At 50.8% G+C, this 18,362-nt stretch overlaps 1 protein-coding gene across 34 annotated transcripts in view, besides 6 other annotated features; it reads left to right on the top strand.

Moving 5' to 3' along the window:
- Nucleotides 1-18,362, top strand: part of ARHGAP22 (Rho GTPase activating protein 22) — a 226,435-nt gene that overhangs the window by 177,908 nt on the left and 30,165 nt on the right. For 2 of the 34 annotated variants that reach the window (XM_047425588.1, XM_047425590.1), the window contains exon 2: nt 8,542-8,728. The exons of 29 other annotated variants lie outside the window; for them this stretch is intronic. In XM_047425588.1, coding sequence (XP_047281544.1) covers nt 8,542-8,728 — 187 coding nt within the window. Of the gene's footprint in view, nt 1-5,071; nt 5,089-6,368; nt 8,758-18,362 lie in introns of those variants that run through there. 3 more of the 34 variants (XM_047425591.1, XM_047425587.1, XM_017016471.3) reach the window with 3 other exon arrangements.
- Nucleotides 1,538-1,832: an enhancer, noted in NCBI's record as "tiled region #4601; HepG2 Activating non-DNase unmatched - State 22:ReprW". NCBI's record gives its function as "activates a minimal TATA promoter and a strong SV40 promoter by Sharpr-MPRA in HepG2 cells {active_cell/tissue: HepG2}" and the evidence as "EXISTENCE:reporter gene assay evidence [ECO:0000049][PMID:27701403]".
- Nucleotides 7,493-8,375: an enhancer, noted in NCBI's record as "NANOG-H3K27ac-H3K4me1 hESC enhancer chr10:49678026-49678908 (GRCh37/hg19 assembly coordinates)". NCBI's record gives its function as "activates a minimal SCP1, AML or CMV promoter by ChIP-STARR-seq in primed H9 embryonic stem cells {active_cell/tissue: H9 hESC(primed)}" and the evidence as "EXISTENCE:reporter gene assay evidence [ECO:0000049][PMID:30033119]".
- Nucleotides 11,286-11,482: a silencer, noted in NCBI's record as "fragment chr10:49674919-49675115 (GRCh37/hg19 assembly coordinates)". NCBI's record gives its function as "represses an EF-1alpha promoter that drives an FKBP-Casp9 reporter gene in an ReSE screen in HepG2 liver carcinoma cells {active_cell/tissue: HepG2}" and the evidence as "EXISTENCE:reporter gene assay evidence [ECO:0000049][PMID:32094911]".
- Nucleotides 13,163-14,094: an enhancer, noted in NCBI's record as "H3K4me1 hESC enhancer chr10:49672307-49673238 (GRCh37/hg19 assembly coordinates)". NCBI's record gives its function as "activates a minimal SCP1, AML or CMV promoter by ChIP-STARR-seq in naive H9 embryonic stem cells {active_cell/tissue: H9 hESC(naive)}" and the evidence as "EXISTENCE:reporter gene assay evidence [ECO:0000049][PMID:30033119]".
- Nucleotides 14,095-15,028: an enhancer, noted in NCBI's record as "H3K4me1 hESC enhancer chr10:49671373-49672306 (GRCh37/hg19 assembly coordinates)". NCBI's record gives its function as "activates a minimal SCP1, AML or CMV promoter by ChIP-STARR-seq in naive H9 embryonic stem cells {active_cell/tissue: H9 hESC(naive)}" and the evidence as "EXISTENCE:reporter gene assay evidence [ECO:0000049][PMID:30033119]".
- Nucleotides 17,842-18,344: an enhancer, noted in NCBI's record as "H3K4me1 hESC enhancer chr10:49668057-49668559 (GRCh37/hg19 assembly coordinates)". NCBI's record gives its function as "activates a minimal SCP1, AML or CMV promoter by ChIP-STARR-seq in naive H9 embryonic stem cells {active_cell/tissue: H9 hESC(naive)}" and the evidence as "EXISTENCE:reporter gene assay evidence [ECO:0000049][PMID:30033119]".

The raw sequence follows: 18,362 nt of genomic DNA, 5'->3' as shown, positions 1-18,362 counted from the left end.
GAAGAGTCAATATAATGTTGAGAGTGAAAGTTGTTCTCTCAGGCTTCATGAATGATATCACACTGTCAGCCTTGGTCTCCTTGATCCCTGAAGGTTGCAGCACATTTGACTTAGGGCCCTAGATTAATGGCCTGGAAAGGTCTGAGCCCACCCAGGGATTTCTGCAGCCTCACAGTGGCTTTGGTTCCAGGTTGCTGAAAGTGAACCAGTGGAACAGAATAGAGCCCAGAAGCAGAATCTTACATAGTTGGACTTTGATGTATGACAGGTGGCACTTTTGAGCACCAGGGAAGGAACATTATCATAATCTTGGGGTAGAGAAAGAATTTTTAAATGAGTTACAAAAAAACACTAATCTATTATGAAATTGTTGATAAATTATATTTTATAAAATGAAGAGCATCTGTTTGTAAAAGGTAGATTAAGAAAATGAAAAGATAAGCTATACATTGGGTGAAGGCGTTTGCAACACATGTGGTCATCAAATTACTCACTCCCCAAACTCCTACAAATGAATGAGGCAAAAACAGACAAGGCAGCAGAAGCGTGGGCAAGAGACTTGGACAGCCATTTCCTAAAATAAGAAATCCTCATGACCAGTGAACATAGGCTCCTGCGCACAACCTCATCAGTAATCAGGGAATTGCAAATTAAATCACAATGGGATACTTGTATGCACCCACCAGAATGACTAAATGACTGAATGAAAAAGACAGTTTCAAGTCGTGATGAGGATAGAAAGCTATAGAAACTTGCACATATTGCTAGGGAAATCAGCAGTGTCTGCTGAAGTTGATGCTGTGCACACCTGTGTCCCAGCAATTCCATATGAAGCATGTCCTACATAGAAATGTGTGTACAGGTATGCCAGGAGACTTGGATACATGGGATGTTCATGGCAGCCTTATTGATGATAGCCTGACACTAACCCAAGTGCCCAGCAACAATACAATGGATAAATAACTATGACTCAGTCTTACAGTGGGAAACTCCACAACAATGGGAATGAATCCACTACAGTGCCACCTACATGCATGAATCTTAAAAACAATGTGGAACTAAACCCAAACAAACAAAATAACATGTTGTATTATCTACCTATATAAAGTTGAAACACAGGGCAGAAGTAAACTTGTTATTTATAGATAGATAGGCAACAGAATATAAAGAAAAGCAAAGAAATGAATGCTATGAAAGTCAGGATAGTAGGGAGGAGGGAAGAGGTTAAGATGGGATGGGAGAGGGGCATACATATCTTAAATGTTCTCTAGCTTGGCTTGGGTAGTTACACAGGTGTTCCTTTTACAATGACATGTTTATCTGCATATTTATGCTTTAAGTGCTTTTCTAGATGTGTGCATATAAAAAATAAATGAAACAAAGGGAGAAACTTGGGTCAAAGAAGTGAGATGACTTGCCCAAGATGACACAGCCAGCAAGGGGGCAGAACTGAGAAGTGGAGGTGGATGTTCTGGCCTCAAAGACTGTGCTTGGTCCTGGCCCAAATAGCCCGTCCAAGAGCTGCACCAAGACCTGCACCCAGCAGGCCTGGCTCCCCGGCCACATGTCCATCTCCCTCTGTGCTTGCCCAGAATTGGGGATCTTTGGCAGAATCCCACATAGACCCTAGACTGACCCCTTCCCCAGGCCTGGCATTTATCTGCCTTCCCAGGCTGTGTGCTGAAGAACTCACAACCATTAAAACAGGAACTGCCATCAAAGGCGCTTATCTCCTTTCTCCCGGGAGTACAGAGGAAATGCAGAAATCTCAGGAGTTAGCGATGCCAGACGTGTCTGGGCATGCATGGTGCTGGCAGGTGGGCTCAGTCGGCCCCTGAAGGTTTTCTGGCAGAGCTGTTATTAGCTTGCATCCCCTGGGAAGGAGGCTTAGAGGATCAGTCCTTTTTTGACTGTTTTGTAACAGAGCCCCTGAGCCCTTCCTGGGGTGCTTATTCTGGCACCGGCAGGCCACCTCTGACAGACAGGAGTGGGTGGCGTGCCTGCTGCAGATGGGACAGCCCAGCCATCCCCTTGAGAAGTGGGAGCAGCCAGTGGTCAGGGGAGCCTCACTGCTGGTGGCCTGCCCAGCCCACCAAGCTGTGGCCACAGCTGGAGTGCCTCTCATTTGGGAATTCATCTGGTCATTCAGCCAACCTGCAATGGACTCGCAAATGTTCTAGGGGCTGAGGAGACAGCAGCGAGCTGGAGGGACAGGCACTGGCCTCATGGTTCTCACGTGCTAGTAGAGGAGGCGGGTGACCAGCTGAGCAGGCACATGGCAGGTTAGATGGTGGGCACAGTGGGGACAGAAGAGGCAGGGAGGGGAACACAAGAGATAGGGTTAGGGTTTGGTGACTTTTGAGTAGAAGGAAAGAAAGGGTGGATAACAGCACAGGCAGAGGTAGGGGGCCCATCCCGGAAGAACAGCAAGGAGGCCAGTGTGGCCAGAGCAGAGTGGGCAAAGGGGAGGAGAGAGACCAAAGAATGAATGGCCTTGTCATCATGGTAGAGCTGTTAGCACCTCATGGCATGGAATAGAGAAGTGGCAGAACCTGGCCCATCTTCTACCAGGATCCTTCTGGCTGTCATGTTGAGGAAAGACCAAAGCCAGTTAGGAGCTCCTTACACAACAGTGCAGGTGAGAGGTGAGGGTGGCCTGGCCCAGTGGTGGTGGCGATAAGAAGTCATTGAATTCTTGATTTATTCTGAAGGTAGAGCCAGTGGTATTCCCCTGCTAAGATGGATGAGAGGTGTATGAGAATGAATGAGAGAAGTTAAGGATAATTCTGGGATGTTTTGATCTAAGCAATGGGAAGCTAATGAGTTAGCTGAGATAGAAAGACTACGGGAACTGCAGCTATTTGGAAGGAAGATATGGGCCTAGTTTGAGATACCTATAAGATGCTCAAGTTTAGATGTCAAGTAGGCAGGTAGATATTTCAGCCTAGAAATCAGGAGAGAGGACTGGGCTAGAGAGAGTATTTAGGGGGCCATCAGCACATAGATGGGGTTTGAAGTCATAAGGCTGAATGAGACAGCACAGAGCGAGTGGAGGGACAGCAGAGGGGTGAGAAAGAGAGCAAGCCCCAAGAGGGAGGAGAGCCAGAAGCCACCCTGAGCCAAGTGAAGGAACAAGGGCAGTGATCAACTGCAGCCAAGTGCTGCTGATAGATCAACCAGAGGATGAAAGCTGAGCAGTCATTGGTGACTTGAGCAAAGGGGCTTTTGTGGAATGCCTGATAATAGTGGGAATGAGAAAGGATGATAGGAGGGGAATTGGAGTGTCAGCATAGCCAACTCTTTCAAAAAGTTTGCAGAAAAGGGAAAGAGAGAAATGGGGACAGCAGCTGGAGGAGGAGGTGAGGTAAAGAGGAAGTTGGTTTATTTTTTTAAGTTGGAAGACAAAGCATCATTGCAAAAGATTGATGGTGTAGGAGGGACAGAGAATTATTGCTGGAACACCAGTGTCTCTTATGGATATAGATACAAAAATCATCCACAAAATCCTAACATGCTGAATCCAAAGAATTATACGCCATGATGAAATGAGATTTATCGTCTCTAAGAATGGAAGGGTGATTTAATGTCTGAAAATCAATTAATGTACTATATTAACAGAATAAAGGACAAAAACACATGACCGTCTTAGTAGACTAGAAAAAGCATTTTATAAAATCCAGCACCCTTTAATGATTAAAACACTCCAGAAACTAGGAATAGAAGTGAACTTCTATTCTATCCCTAGGAATAGAAGGGAATTCCTATGATAAAGGGCATCTCCAAAAAGCCCACTGATAATAACATACTTAATCGAGGAAGACTGGCTAATTTTCCTCCAAGATCAGGAACAAGACAAGGATTCTTGCCTTCACCACTTCTATTCAGCATTGTACTAGAGGTTCTAGCCAGGTCAATTATGCAAGAAAATGAAATAAAATGAAGCTTGATTTAAAAGGAAGACATTAAAGTATCTCTGTTTGCAGATGGCGTGATCTTGTGTACAGAAAGTACAAAAAAACTATTAGAATTAATTAAAAATTCAGCAAGGTTGAAGGATACAAGATTAGTATATACAAACCAATTTTATTTGTGTACAGTAGCCATGAACAAACTGAAAACGAAATTAAGAAAATTTCATCTACAGGAGCATCCAAAAGAATAAAATACTTAGGGATAAATTTAGCAAAAAAAAGTATAAAACTTATATTCTGAAAATAACAAAGCATTGCTGAAAGAAATTGAAAAAGATCTAAATAAGAAGAAAGACATCCCATGTTCAGGAATGAGAAGAGTTGATATTGTTAAGAGGCCAATACTCCTCAAACTGATCTCTGAACTTCCACGCCCAGTTCAGGGAACGCAGCCCCAGAAGGATGCATGGCGCAGTACCTCCTTGCCAGCTCTCTCTGAGAGGAGAGAGAAGGGAGACAATAGTCACCGGGTCCCCAGGGCTGCCTCGGCATCTGGTGGGTGCTTGAACATGTGTATCCCTTGCCTGGTTGTCTGCAGAGAGTCTGCAAGCCCCCTTAAAGCCTGGAATTTATATGCATAGGAAGGGGTTTAGCCAAGCCCATTGCATTGAAGTGTGAGAGGAGGCAGAGTGAGGCTTTGGCAACAGGCTTGGGTCTAGGTGTGATTTGGCTCTGCCACTTGCTTGCTGCATGACCTGGCACACCTCTTATCTTCGCTGTACCTCTGTGTCCTTGTTTGCAAAATAGGAAGAATAATATCTTTTTTGCAGGATTGTCATAAGAATTAAGAGAGAAAATGGACATAAAGTGCTCAGCGCTCTCTGAGTACTAAATAGTCCTCAGCGTTCTCTGAGTACTAAATAGTCCTCATTCATTCATTAAACACTTATTGAGACCTGTCACATGCAGGCAGAGGACTCAGCAGGGAAGAAAGCAGTGTACAGTGTACAATTCAGTGGCATTAAGTGTATTCACACTGTTGTACAACCATCACCACCATCCCTCTCCAGAACTTTTTCATCTTCCCAAACTGAAACTCTGGCTTTCTCCCTCCAGCCCTGGGCAACCACCATTCTACTTTCTGTCTTTATAAATTTGACTGCTCTAAGCACCTCATGTAAGTAGAATCCTGTAGTATTTGTCTTTTTGTGACTGGCTTATTTCATTTTGCATAATGTTCTCAAGTTTCATCTATGTGGAATATTGGAATTTCTCTCTTTTTTAAGCTCAAATAATATTCCATTGTATGGATATACCACATTTGTTTATCCATTCATCCATTGATGGACACTTGAGTTGCTTCTGTGTTTCAACTATTGTGAATAATGCTGCTGTGAATATGAGGGTGCAAATATCTCTTTGAGTCCCTGATTTCAATTATTTGGGGTATATACCCAGAAGTGGGATTGCTAGATCATATGGTAATTCTATTTTTAATTTTTTGAGGAGCCTCCAGACCATTTTCCACAGTGGCTGCCCCATTTTATATTCCCACTGGCAGTACACAAGTTTTCTAGTTCATCTACATCCTCACCAGCACTTGTTTTCTGTTTTTTTTGGTTTTTTTTTTAATAGCCATCCTAACAGGTATGAAGTGTTATCTCATTGTTCATACGGTGTTGAAAGAGGTGAGAGAGTGAGCCAAGGGGACATCTAGTGGAAGTGTGCTAGACTGACGCCATAGCTTGGGCAAAAGCAGAACATCTGATGTGGTCTAGAAGCAGCACAGAGGCAGATGGGCTGGAGGGAGTGAGGAAGGGAGCCACATGGGAGTGGCCAGAAGGTAGAGGCTTCCTGGGCCCCTTTTAGTACTCTAGCTGTTATTTTATTTTATTTTGTTTTATTTTATTTTATTTTATTTTTGAGACAGAGTCTCGCTCTGTTGCCCAGGCTGGAGTGCAGTGGCACAATCTTGGCTCACTGCAACCTCTGCCTCTTAGGTTCAAGCAATTCTTCTGCCTCAGCCTCCTGAGTAGCTGGGATTACAGGCACGTACCACCATACCCGGCTAATTTTTGCATTTTGAGTACAGCAGGGGTTTCACCATGTTGGCCAGGCTGGTCTCGAACTCCTGACCTCAAATGATCCACCTGCCTCGGCCTCCCAAAGTGCTGGGATTACAGGCATGAGCCACCACACCCAGCCGCTGTTACTCTTTTTTTCTTTTTTTTCTTTTTTTGAGACTGAGTCTTGCTCTGTCACCCAGGCTAGAGTGCAGTGATGCTATCTGGGCTCAACGCAACCTCTTCCCCCCCGGGTTCAAGCGATTCTCCTGCCTCAGCCTCCCGAGTAGCTGGGATTACAGGCACCCGCCACCGCACCCAGTGAATTTTTGTATTTTTAGTAGATACAGGGTTTCACCATCTTGGCCAGGCTGGTCTCCAACTCCTGACCTCATGATCCACCCACCTCGGCCTCCCAAAGTGCTGGGATTACAGGTGTGAGCCACCGCACCTGGCCCAGCTGCTGTTACTCTGAAATGAGGAGGGGGCATTGGAGGGCTTTGAGCCGAGAAATGTCTTGATGTAATACATCATTTAAGAGGACCACTCTGCCTGCTGACCAGAGTTGTACAAGGGGGAGCTGGAGATGAATTTGCAATAATCCAGGCAAGAGAAGGGGGTGCTCTCCCTGTGGTCAGGGTAGTGAAAGTGATCAGATTCCAAATCTATTTTGCAAGTAGGATGATAAGCTCTCCTGGCTGTGGATGTGAGGAAGGGCGCAGTGGAGGCTAACTCCATGGTGTCTGGCTGGGCATCTGGAGGCTGGAGTTGTTATGAAGTAAGAAGGGAAGACTTAGCACAGAGCTGGTTTGGGAGGCTATGGCAAGGCCATAGCTCTGTTTGGACACGTTTAGGTTTGAGGTGTCTATGAGTCATTAAACCAGTGGAGATGCTGAGCGGGCAGTTGGATTCAGAAGTCTGGGGGCTGGGACTGGTGCTAACTAGCACTGTGGTAACAGTTCCACTATGGCCAGCAGGCACCGCCAAGCAAAGCCCTGAAGCTGTTTGTCCCAACCTTACCAGTGGCAGCGCAGAAGGCAGTCTTGGGGCTAGGAGCCCAGCTGGGAAAAGGTGTCCCTGCCCAGAGTGACTGCTTGGTGCTGGGGCGGGGCATGGGGGCCGGAGACAGGCAGTAGGCCTGTGGTCATCATCGGAACTGCACTGCCCTGGCCTGGCTGTGTGGGAATCTCACAGGCCTCTGGAGGCTTTTCTCAGACCCCCAGGAGTCAACTCTCCTGCCCTTGGGTTCCTCTGGAATCATGGGTGGAAAAAAGAAGGGAGAAATACAGCTCCCTGAAGCCCTAGGGCAGGACATGTGACATGGAAAAAAATCCAACCTTGGGACAACCTGGTGGGATGAAATGCAACCTTGTTAGCTGGTAGTGGTCATCATTTGATGGAATGACATCTCTAAAAGGAAGCCCTGGAGGCATAATCAGATTCAGAGTGAAAGGTGATTACCCCCAGGCCAGGCTGCCAGTGGTAGAGCCCAAGGTCCTAGTGGACCACTTCTCCCCAGCACTGCTTGCTCTATATCCCAGCCCTCCTGGGAGATTCAAGAAGACAGTCTTATTTCTAGTTCCTGTGAATGTCAACCTGCCTGGCCAGTGGGCCTGGGCTTTTCCAGGCAGCCCTTCCAAAAGGGGAGAGAAAGGACTCTTGCAGACCTGGGCTAGGCCTCAGGTCACTAAGCCAGCAGAAGGGGTACTTGAGACTAGTTCTGGTGCCTTCCATCCATTCTAGTGGGCCCTAAGGGTCCATGTACTCAAGTGGAGAAGATGTCCCTATGGACCTTGGATCCTGTCCAGGCTCATAGAGGGCAGGCCTGGCCTCTTCTGGGTATAGAGGGTGTTCAGAGCACACTTGGGCCTCCTTCCCCTGCAGCGCTCAAGGCTTCTCCCCTGCCAGAGCCCCAGGAGCCTGAGAACTTGGATCCCCAAGGCAGAGGAAATGGCCTCCAGCCACAGCCACCCTCCCCCACCCCTGCTGATGGGACAGCCACAGAGCTGTTTACCAGAACAAAGGCCCGAGCAGCTGCCTTATCTAGGGAGAGCCTGGTAAGCTAGTCGGGATGATTTACAGGGGGCTGTCACTACTGCTTCCTGCAAAGGTCAGGACGCTAACGTTCAACACTCTTTTAACCACCTTGCTGGTTCATTAAGCCCTTCCTTCTCAGCAGCTCTGATGAGAAATGCCCATCAGCTTGGCCAGTTTGGTTTCAGTCTGGCTTCAATAGACCTCAGATCACAGAACCAGAAAAGAGTTTGTCTCCATTATTGATAAGATGGGGATGAACCCCTGGGGACCCCAGCATTTCCTATCCTGGACTCTGTGTCCCTGCTGAGCCTGACAATAGCCCTGTGAAACCAGTCCCATTATATCCCACTTTTGGTGAGGAGACAGAATCAAGGAGGCTCCAGCATTTTGTCCAGACCACAAATAAGTGGGAAGCTGGCATTTCAACCTAGTCGGCTGGAGTGCAGAGCCTGGGTGCTGGCTGCCTGCTGTAGAGAGCAGGATGCCAGAAAGCCTCAGGGTGTCCTAGGGTTGGGATCTTTGTCTCTCAGCTTGTTCCAAGTGGCCCTGGAGGACTTCAGCCCACACACCCTGAGAGAAGAGGAAGGGAGCTCACACTGGCTATGGGCTGCCCTTGCCAGGAGTTTGGTACAATCTGGAGGCAGCAGAGACTCAGAGGTTCAGCAACTTACCTAACAACACACAGTGGGGCTGGGGGCAGCGCAGCCCACCTCCAGGGTAAGCTCATCGCTGGATGCTGTTGCCAGGTAGGCCTCAGCGCATTCTACCCACTAGATCTGAGTTGTCTTGGTTGGGGAGGGGGGCATAATTAAGACTGAAGGAAGAGGCAGTCCCTAAGGTCCTGGATCCCAGCCCTAGCCAGGGAGCTGTTGTACACACAGCTCAGAGACAAAGACCATCCAGAGTGAAGAGGCCAACTGTTAACTGGGTTGCTTGTGTGATTGGACAGACTCAGGTTGTCAGCTCCCCAGCCCTGCCCTGAGAAGGCAGTCTCATGACTGTCTCTGCACTCCCATCCCCAACAGGCCCCACAGCTAAAAACCACCCCTGAGGTGGGGTGGGCATTGGCAGGGCCAGGGCTTCACCTGGAGCTCAATGTGGCAGTGCCTGCCGGAGCCTTCTAATGGGTGGTGCCTGCAGGCCTCTAGCCATGTGGGGCTCCTGGGTAGGGGTGGAGGGCACTCTGCAGAGACTGGCCAGTCTGACTCTGAAGACACAGGCAGGGAAACCATGGCTCAGAGCAGAGAAAACATGTGGGCAGCAGACCCTGCCTGCCCACCTGAGAGAAGCCTGCCGGCCCCTGGTTGGTGAGAGCTTCTGCTGAGCCCTTGGCCCCTGCTCTTTAACATGGACAGGGCTGCTCAGAGCTGGCAGGTCCCTGGGCCGTGGGAATGCCAGGCTCTGTTGGTAGGTGGAGGGCAGACATTCCTTGGCTTGTGACACCCTGCACCAACCTGCCCTGGCACCCTCATGTTCACCTGAGCTCTGGGGAGGGAGAAAACAGCTCCGCGGCCCCACTCCCAGTTTTGAGGACCTTAGCCCCCATACTTAGTGTCAGGGCCAGGACTAGGGATCCTCACTGGCCTGGGGCACAAAATGTAAGGGGGCACCAAAAAAACTCAGTAATCAAGATATTTTATTGTAATCTTTTAAAAAATGAACATGAATACTAAAATATCCTTATATTAGGTCCACATTGCAGCTCTAACAAACTGCCAGAAATTTGGCAGCTTAAAACAACACAACGTGATTATCTTCTAGTTCTGGAGGTCAGAAGTCATAACCAGTCTTCTAAGGCTAAAATCCAGATGTCAGCAGGACTGGTTTCTTGTAGGACATGGGGAGAAGCAGTTCCTTGTATCTTTAACCTTCCAGGGGCTACAGCAAGGCCTTGGCTGCGGCTTCAGCACTGCAGTCTCTGCCTCTGTCCTGCCCCCACCGCCTCCACTGTGGTCAAACTTCCTTCTGCCTTCCTGGTAAAAGAACCCCTATGATTGCACCTGGCCCCTTAGATAACCCAGGTTAACCTCTCCAGCCCTCATCACACCTACAAAGTCTCTTGTACTGTGTAAGATAACACAGCCACAGGTTCCAGGGATCAGGACATCTTGTGGGGAAGGGCATTATTCAGCCAACCACATCCATGGTCAAATGCAAACATGTGAAATAAAGGCAGGAATGTGGTGGGATTGGGGTGGGAGGCACTCACCCTCAAGGCCTGTGCAAGTGCATAGCTGCTCCTTTCTGTATTGAAAACTTTGATCTTTTGTTCATCAAAGATTTTTTGCCTAATATTTATTCTTAAAAGTATTACAATAAAGTGTTTATCCTAGTTACTGAGTGAGGTTTTGGGTGCCCCTTAAATTGTGCCCCTGTGGTGAGTGCCTGGCTTGTTTCACCCTAGGCCAGGCTCTGCCTAGAATGAGCAAGAGGCGTGACCCAGCTCTGCACGTCCAGCTTGAAGAAGGGCCCCAGCCTCTTCCAGCCCCAGGGCCGCAAATCCCTCCCTTAAGAATTCTGCCCTCTAAGCAACTTTTCCCAGAGTAAGCACCTTGCAAATGACAAAGCTGGTCTTAAACTCAGGCTTAGCTCAACCCAGGCTGCTTAGCTCTAGCAGGTCCTTACTAGAAATTTCCAATATGCATGCATTTATTTTCACATACGATTTTTCCAGAGTTTTGGAAAATAATATTCAATAAAGAAAGAAGTCACCCTGATTATCACTTGACCCATAACTTGCTGAACCATGTTTTCTTTTTCAAGTATTATATTCCGGACTCACTAGTAACTCACAGTATTTTTCTTCTAACAAGTGTTACTCCAATTATGTCTGCACCTTTGGTCAGCTACTGTGTGAAATAAATATTCAGTACAAGCTAAAAAAAAAAAAAGAATTCTGCCCTCCTACCCTTGGGACTCCCATCCCTGCTACTGGCGTTGCATTGCCCCTAGCCGTGCCTCTCTGTCCACCTGCCTTCCTGGTGTACCCATTCCAGCCCTCACCCTTTGGAAGTATGGGGATTGTGGGCTGGTCTCAGAAACCTAACCCAAGAAGAATACAGGCTTTGCAGAAAGATCATGTAGGTGTTAATGAAGGTCCATCACCAGCTGTATGACCTTAGGCAAATCACACAACCTCTCTGATTCTCTGTAATATAGGGAAGCTAATACCCCTCAGACTGCTCAGGGGCATACTGTATGTCAAGTCCAAACCAATATCTCTGGCACTAGGATGCCCAGGCAGGAAGAGGCCAGAAGGGCCTGGAGCCTGGACCCCCACTGTGAAGCCAGCACCTCCTCCTTGCTGGGTGACCCAGACTCAGTTACCTAACCTCCCTGGACCTCCATTGCCTCACCTGGAACACCTGCTTCCCAGGCGAAGGGTTAAGCGGGCGCTCCAAAGCAGGTCCTGGGCAAAGAGGGAAGGGATTCCTGCGGTGCCCGGGAACGTGGGGCATTAGGGGAAAGGGTGTGAAGTTTGACACCGGAGATCCCCCACGGGGGCCGACTTCGGGCGTGGCATTCCAGGCAACTCACAGATCCTGGGCCTTCCCTCGCCTCAGGGTCCGGGCCTGGGGCGGCGCTGGCCGGGGCGGGCGGGCGGCGGGCAAGACGCTACCTGCGCGCGTGCCGGGCATTCCAGCCGCCGCCGCGCCGCCGCGATAGGCGCGCCATGGGCCTGATGCCGGCCGCGCGGGCCTACTCCGGGATGCAGCGCTTGCCCGCGGCCGCCTTGCCGCTTGCCCGCTTGTTGCGCGCCCGCCGCCCCAGGTAGGGGCGGGACGGGGTGCGGGCGCCCCCGGGCCCGCCAGAGAAGCTGCGTCTCCGGGCCATAGAGGCGCTCGAAGCTGGGACCGGCGCAGCGGGCGAGAGCGCCGCGCATGCGTCTCGCGGGGGTCGGCGGGGAGCCTGGGGGAGTTTGGGTGTCACCGCGGATCTGGTGCTGCGGGACGGTTCCCAGGGGGCGAGGGTCGTGCGTGTCCGAGGGAAGAAACAGGGACCGGAGGCGTCCTTCAATCTCCTGCTGGCTGTGGGCGTCCCGCATGTAGAGACGAGGACTTAGAGTCTGGGGGGGGGCGCAGGGACTTGCAAAGGATCCCTCCCCACCCCGAACTACGGAGGGGACACAGCGGGATCCGAGCCTCGGGCTCTGACCCCAAGCCTACCTGGGCCACAGGAAGGGGTGTGGGACCGGCGGCCCCAGGAGGAGGGAATCACTTCTGCCCTGGGGTGGACTGCCCAGGGCAGGACCCTTCCAGGTGAGCTTAGCCTCTACTGTGCTCCTCCAGGCCTGGACGGGTGGGGAGCAGGAGAGTTTTCAGCTGTGCCGGCTGGCTGGTGGATCTTACCGCTTACAGCCCTGGGGGCAATTCTGAAGCTCCCTAATACTTAGCGCAGAGCCTGGAAGTGACAGAGTTGGCCGGCCAGTGAGTCCCTGCACTGACGGACAAAGGGTGGGGTGGTTGCATGGAAGATGGTGAGTTTTGGGGTACAGGGGACCCGAGAGCAGAAAGGCCTGGAGCCAAGAGGGAAACTGTGGAATTACCCAATTACCCAAAGTTTGGGAGTCTCTAGAGAGAATTTTAGAATTACTTTCCTCATTGTGCCTCTTCCCAGACTATGTCATTGCCCGCTCCTGTAAGAGTGAAAAGCAGGCATATGACTGAAGCAGACCTGCTGCGCAGCTGCACTCTGCTCCGGGATCAGCTCCAAGAGGGAATCCCAGGTCTCCCTTCCCTGATGCGGCCTTCGGGGTGGGACTCAGGGGCAGGCAGAACCTGTCCAGGAATTGACCCTGCAAGGTCCGGAGAAAGCCGCATTTCAAAGCACTTGCTCCTGGGTGCCTGGTGTGGTCGATCTCCCGTGGACGCTCACACCCCGGAAGGTGGCCAAGCCCAGCTCAGAGAGGCTTAGGACAGTGCCCAGGGTCATAGAGGACGCGGATTGGAGCCAGCGGACTGCTCTGCCTGGGCTTCCTCTCCGGTGTGGGATTCCCGGGGAGGGGAGTGAGGGACGGCTTTGCCAGGGGAACGCTGGCGGGGGAGGCCTGGCAGCAAGTTCATCAAGAGGAGAGGCAGCCTCTGCCAGTTTCCCCTGCGGTGGCAGAGCCAGTGCTCTGTAAAGAGCATGGGCTGGGACCTCGAGGAACCCACACGATGGCTGGGTTTCCAGGGAGCTGACAAACCTACTGGAACTAGTTTTTGGCAAGGCTCCCCTCCGAGGGTGCCAGGAGAGCTGAGGGAGTTCAGCCAGGCGGGGGCAGGCCCTGCCAGGCTCCTGAGAGACCCTGATGAGGGGAGGGATTGGTGGGGCCCCTAATAAGGGAGGCCGGGCCCAGAAGCCCCAGCACAGGGTGCCTCCCACAGGAGGGCCGCGGGGAAGGAAGCCTCTTGGGAGGCTAAGCTGGAATGAGACCTCACAGCTCCTGGCAGCTCCCCTCCAAGGGTTCCAGTGGCCAGCTGGGAATGTGGGGCCAGTCTGCAGCCTGGTGGTACCTGGGGGCTGGGCCTCAGGGAAGTCTCGCCCTCATAGCACCCCCTAAAGACAGGTGTGATCCTCCCATTTTATAGATTTCATAGATGGAGAGACTGAGCCCCAGGAAAGGGAGGCAGCTCCTCTCCTCAGTGGGTTAGCCAGGACGTCCACCAGACCAGTGCTGGTGCAGACCCAGAATCTTTGTCTCTGTGACCTTTGGCCTTGAACATCGCCTACTTTCCCGTGTCCCCACCTCAGCCCCACCATGCCAGGGCAGGGTGCTGCCAACCATGCTCCTTCACCCCTGCCCTCTGACGCCCATGCTCCTCCATCATGTGCCCTGCACCCCCACCCGCCTACCTGGCTTCTTCCTGCTCATCTTTAGACGTTGGCTTCAGCATCACCTCCTCCCTGAACCTGTTCTCTCTAGAAGTGCCCAGGACCCTGTGGATGTCCCTTTCCTGGCTCTTCCATCCCTGTTTTGGGAAAGTGTTCAGGAAGGCGCCATGGGGGAGCAGAAGGGTAGTGGTTGTGCTGGGGCTGGGAGCTGCTTGGATGTGCAGGCACTGTACAAATGGTGGGCTGGCCCAGGCTCTGCACCCCTAGGGTCTGGTGGAGGGAGTAGGGCAGGGCCTTGCCTGCTTGCCAAGTTTGGGCTTTATCCTGAGGACGATGTGTGTGGGGGAACAGGGAGCAGGGGAGGCCCCAGGGAGATTTATATGTTTACAGCCTTCAGGGCAGCTCTCTAATTCCTAGAGTGGGGCCAGGCACAAAGTATAGGGGTTATGGAAAGGTGGATGGACAGACAGACAGCAGGAGTTTTGGGGGTAGGAGATGGGACAGCAGGCCGGGCTGGAGCCAAGAGATGGCTGGGTGGAATTACCCATGCTCCATGGGCTTCCAGAGAGAATTTTGGAATTTTTTCCCCATGTATCTCTTCCTTGACTGTGGCCTTCAGTCAGCTGTGAGCTGAGGGTGGGGCTGAACGCTGTGAGTTGAGATGGGTGGCGGCCCTGGAGAGCTCGGTCCCCTCCTTCACTGGCTCTCCTTGGCCTCTGCTGCAAGCCCAGCATGTGGCTCTGGGCAGTTCAGCAACCCAGCAGAGGGGAGTGTCCTCACACTGTCTGGAGTAGTGGCAGGCAGGGCTGTGACAGAGGGGAGGGAAAGCTGAAGGGAGGATCTGGGGCAGCTCACGTAGCAGGGACTTCTGAGCTTTCTTCCAAGGGCTAGTGGGAAATTTGCCCAGACCGAAGAGGAAAGCGCTACCCAGGGAGAAGGCCCTACCCACTCACAGGCCCATGAAGGCAGACGGATTCATGCCACTCAAGCAGTGGGCAGAGCTGGAGGAAAGGGGAGGGAGGCAGGAGGCAGGCGGCAGGCACCAGGGGCACTGCCAGGTCAGCCCCTCCCCTCATGGGACCCTCTGCCCATGGGCACTTCCTCCTGGATGCCCTCTGCCTGCTCATTTGAGGTCCTAGCAGAGGCCTCTGGTCCTGAGAGGTGTAGCTTCCCATTGCTACCTTTCCTACTTATCCTGGCCCCAGTGTCCTTGGGGGAAGTCTGTGCCCCAGAGGTCAAAGCAGAAGAGGTGAACGAATACCTGTCAAGACCACATGAGAGGAGCATGGGCCAGGTTGGAAGTGAGAGGGGATGGTGGAGACTGCGGAGAAGTAGCAAGTGTGAGTCCTATCAAAAGGGCACAGATGCTACTGAGCTCTGCAATTGTTGCTTTTTTTGGAACTCAGGCCTGGTGTCACCACGTCTGGATTTTTTAAGAGAAGCTGGGAATCCAGATTTGTATATGAAATCTCTTGATTATAAATAACTAATTTAAAAATGTTTCAAACATCATGTGAGCTAAACAGGCACATCTGTGGACCTGTGTGGCCCACTGTTAGGCATCAGATGTTGAGCTCTGACTGAGGTGAGAGACAGCAGGGGCTCAGTGTCACTGGACCAGCCCAGGCCACTCTTGGGATGGTGGAAAGGCCAGGACGCTGTCAGTGGTGGGCCCTGGAGCCTCCTCGGACTGGTTTCTCACAGCTGTCCCTGGCAGCTAGCAGGCCAAGCTTGCAGCAGGATCACCTCCTGTGCTCAAGGCTGATGAATGGCCCCTTGGGTCCCATTTCTGGGCAGGGGCGCCTGGTCTTGCCCACCAGGTCCCAGGTGGGAGCAGCTTTCCCTTCGTGTTAGTATTGCAACCTCTGCCTGTTGTCTGTTCACATGACCCATGTTTTCAGGAACTGCTGGTGCTGGATTGGGGGATGCCTCACATAGGTATCTCCACACCAACATGGGTGCCAAGCAGCCATGTGGCTGAGTACATTCCCTATACCTGGAGCCAGACTGCCTGGGTTGGACCGTTGTCCCTGTCATGCATGCTGAGTGAACTTGGGCACATTCTTAAGCCCCCATGCCTCTCCGTTCAAACATCCTACAAACTGAACAGGCAAAAGTCAAGATAATGATGTTGATGGTTACAGTGATAGTGACAGTCCCTAAGTTATCAGATGGGTAGGATTAAATGTGCTGATGAGTGTAAAATGCTCAGAACAGCACCTGGCACCACAACACCGTGTGTAGCTACTTCGGCACTCTCCTCACACTCAGGTGCCCCCCCCCCACCCCGAAGTGTGCATACCCATGCACACACAAGCCCACAAGCACACATATGCACATACGTTTATAAGCGCACATCCAGCACATGTGCACACACATGCACACACAAGCCCACACTACATGCACACATGTGCGTACACACTTCTCCCTAAAGCATTGCTGGTATCCAGCAGGTGTAGCCCACGCGGGCATGTGTTCTCAAAGGAAGAGTCTTCACCTTTCAGGTTTTATACACTTTGTTTTTGGGTCAAGCAGGGTGAGGAGGAGCATTTACTGTGTTCTGCTCTGTGCCAGGCACTGTATCAGGGACCGATGTATCTTATTCCAAAATAGCCCCTGGGTGGGAAGCTAAGTAAGACAAATGGAGCCCCACTTTTAGCTGGCTCAGTGCCCAGGTCTCTGAGAAGTCCCAAGCCTGGACATGGAGCTTTGGCATCTTGCCCCTGGAACACCCCACAAGCCACCCTGCAGGGAAGGTCTCTGCACAGTGGGTGTGAATAATGTCAGACACTCCAAAGAGTCAGGCACGCACCTTGTAGAGCTTAGGGGCTGGCACAAGTCTGTTTCTCCAGTTACTGTGCCGTGGTGTAGACAGCTTTATGGATCTCAACTCCTTCCCTTCTTTGCCTGGGCTGCCAGGAACCTCTTAGCCTAGTGATATATTTAGTTTTCATAGATTTTCTCAGAAGTTCCTCTGCCTCCTTCCTCTCTCCCTCTATTCCTCATTTGGTGTCTTGTCATGTATTGTTTTAGATCATTCTCTCTCTGATTTCTTTTCTTTCTTTTTGCTAATGTTATTTAAGAGTAACATGCAGAAAAGCATACAAGTCATAAGTGTACAGTTCAGTGAATTTTCTCAAGAGGAACATAACTGGGTAAGCAGTGCTGGGGGAGAGACACAGTGTTACCAGGACCCCAGAAGCCTTTGAGCCCCTTCCAGTCACTGACCCACCAAGGGAACCATGTCCCGGCCTAACAGCACAGATGCGTTTGACCTGTTTTTAACTTTACATACATGGAGTCATGCAGTGTGCACTCTGGGGTTTGGCTTCTTTTGTTTCTGATGATTTTTTTTGTCTTCTAATTTTTAAAACATTTCATAAAATACACTTAGCATAAAATTTCCTGTCTTCATTTTTAAAGCACACAGTTCAGCAGCATTACATTCATTTCAATTATCGTGCAACCATCAGCACTATCCATCTCCAGAACACTTTCCATCTTGCAAAGCTGAGACTCTGTGCCCATTCAATTCTAACTTGCCATCTCCCCTGTCCCCAGCTCCTTGCAGCCACCATTCTACTTTCTGTCTGTGAATTTGAATACTCCAGGTTCTTCATATAAGGGGAATAACACAGTATTTGTCCTTTTGTGAATGATTTACTTCACATAATGTTCTCAGGTTCACCCATATTTTATCACTTGTCTGAATTTCCCTCCTTTTTAAGGGAATTCAGGCTTAAGGCTGAATCAAGTTCTACTGTATGCAAATACCACGTCTTGGTACTCCATTCATTGATGGACACATGGCTTGCTTCCGCATTTCAGCTACTGTGAATAATGCTGCTGTGAACATGGGTGTGCAAGTATCTCTTTGAGACCTTGCTTTTAATTCTTTTAGGTATATACCCAGGGGAGGGATTATTGGTAATTCTGGTTTTAATTTTTTGAGGAACTGCCATACTGTTTTCCACAGCAACTACACCATCTTATCATCCTGCCAGCAGTGCACAAGGAAGGGTTCCAGTTTCTCCACATCCTTGCCAACACTTGTTACTATCTGATCTTTTGATAGTAGCCATCCTAGTGGGTGTGAGGTGGTATCAGATAGTGGTTTGGATTTGCATTTTCCTAATAATGATTGATGCTGAGTCACGACTATGGTTTTCACATTACTATGTCATCTGTCTTGTCCAGTGAGCTGTGCCTCATTTATTCTCATTGCTGCACTGTGTTCCATGGTAAGAATAGAACACAGGAGATCTGCTGTTGATGGGCACTGGATGGCTTCTCATTTGGAATGACTGCAAAACCAATCAATGACAGGCATAATGAACGCTCCCAAGGGCCATTTGCTCCTGGCTTGGGCAAGCTCCATGGCCAGGTCACACCACCATCTCACTGCTCCCTCCTGCTGTCTGTCCACAGGCAGCCCAGGGCCCAGCCTCCTGGTGTGCATCCTCCCAGCATGTGTCCGGGCGGCCAGGGCACAGCCTTCTGGTATGCATCCTCCCAGTGTGTAATTTGCTTCCTGAGG

This window comes from Homo sapiens, chromosome 10, assembly GCF_000001405.40.
Source record: "Homo sapiens chromosome 10, GRCh38.p14 Primary Assembly".
Lineage (NCBI taxonomy): Eukaryota > Metazoa > Chordata > Mammalia > Primates > Hominidae > Homo > Homo sapiens.
This window is presented reverse-complemented; position numbering and strand designations above follow the sequence as displayed.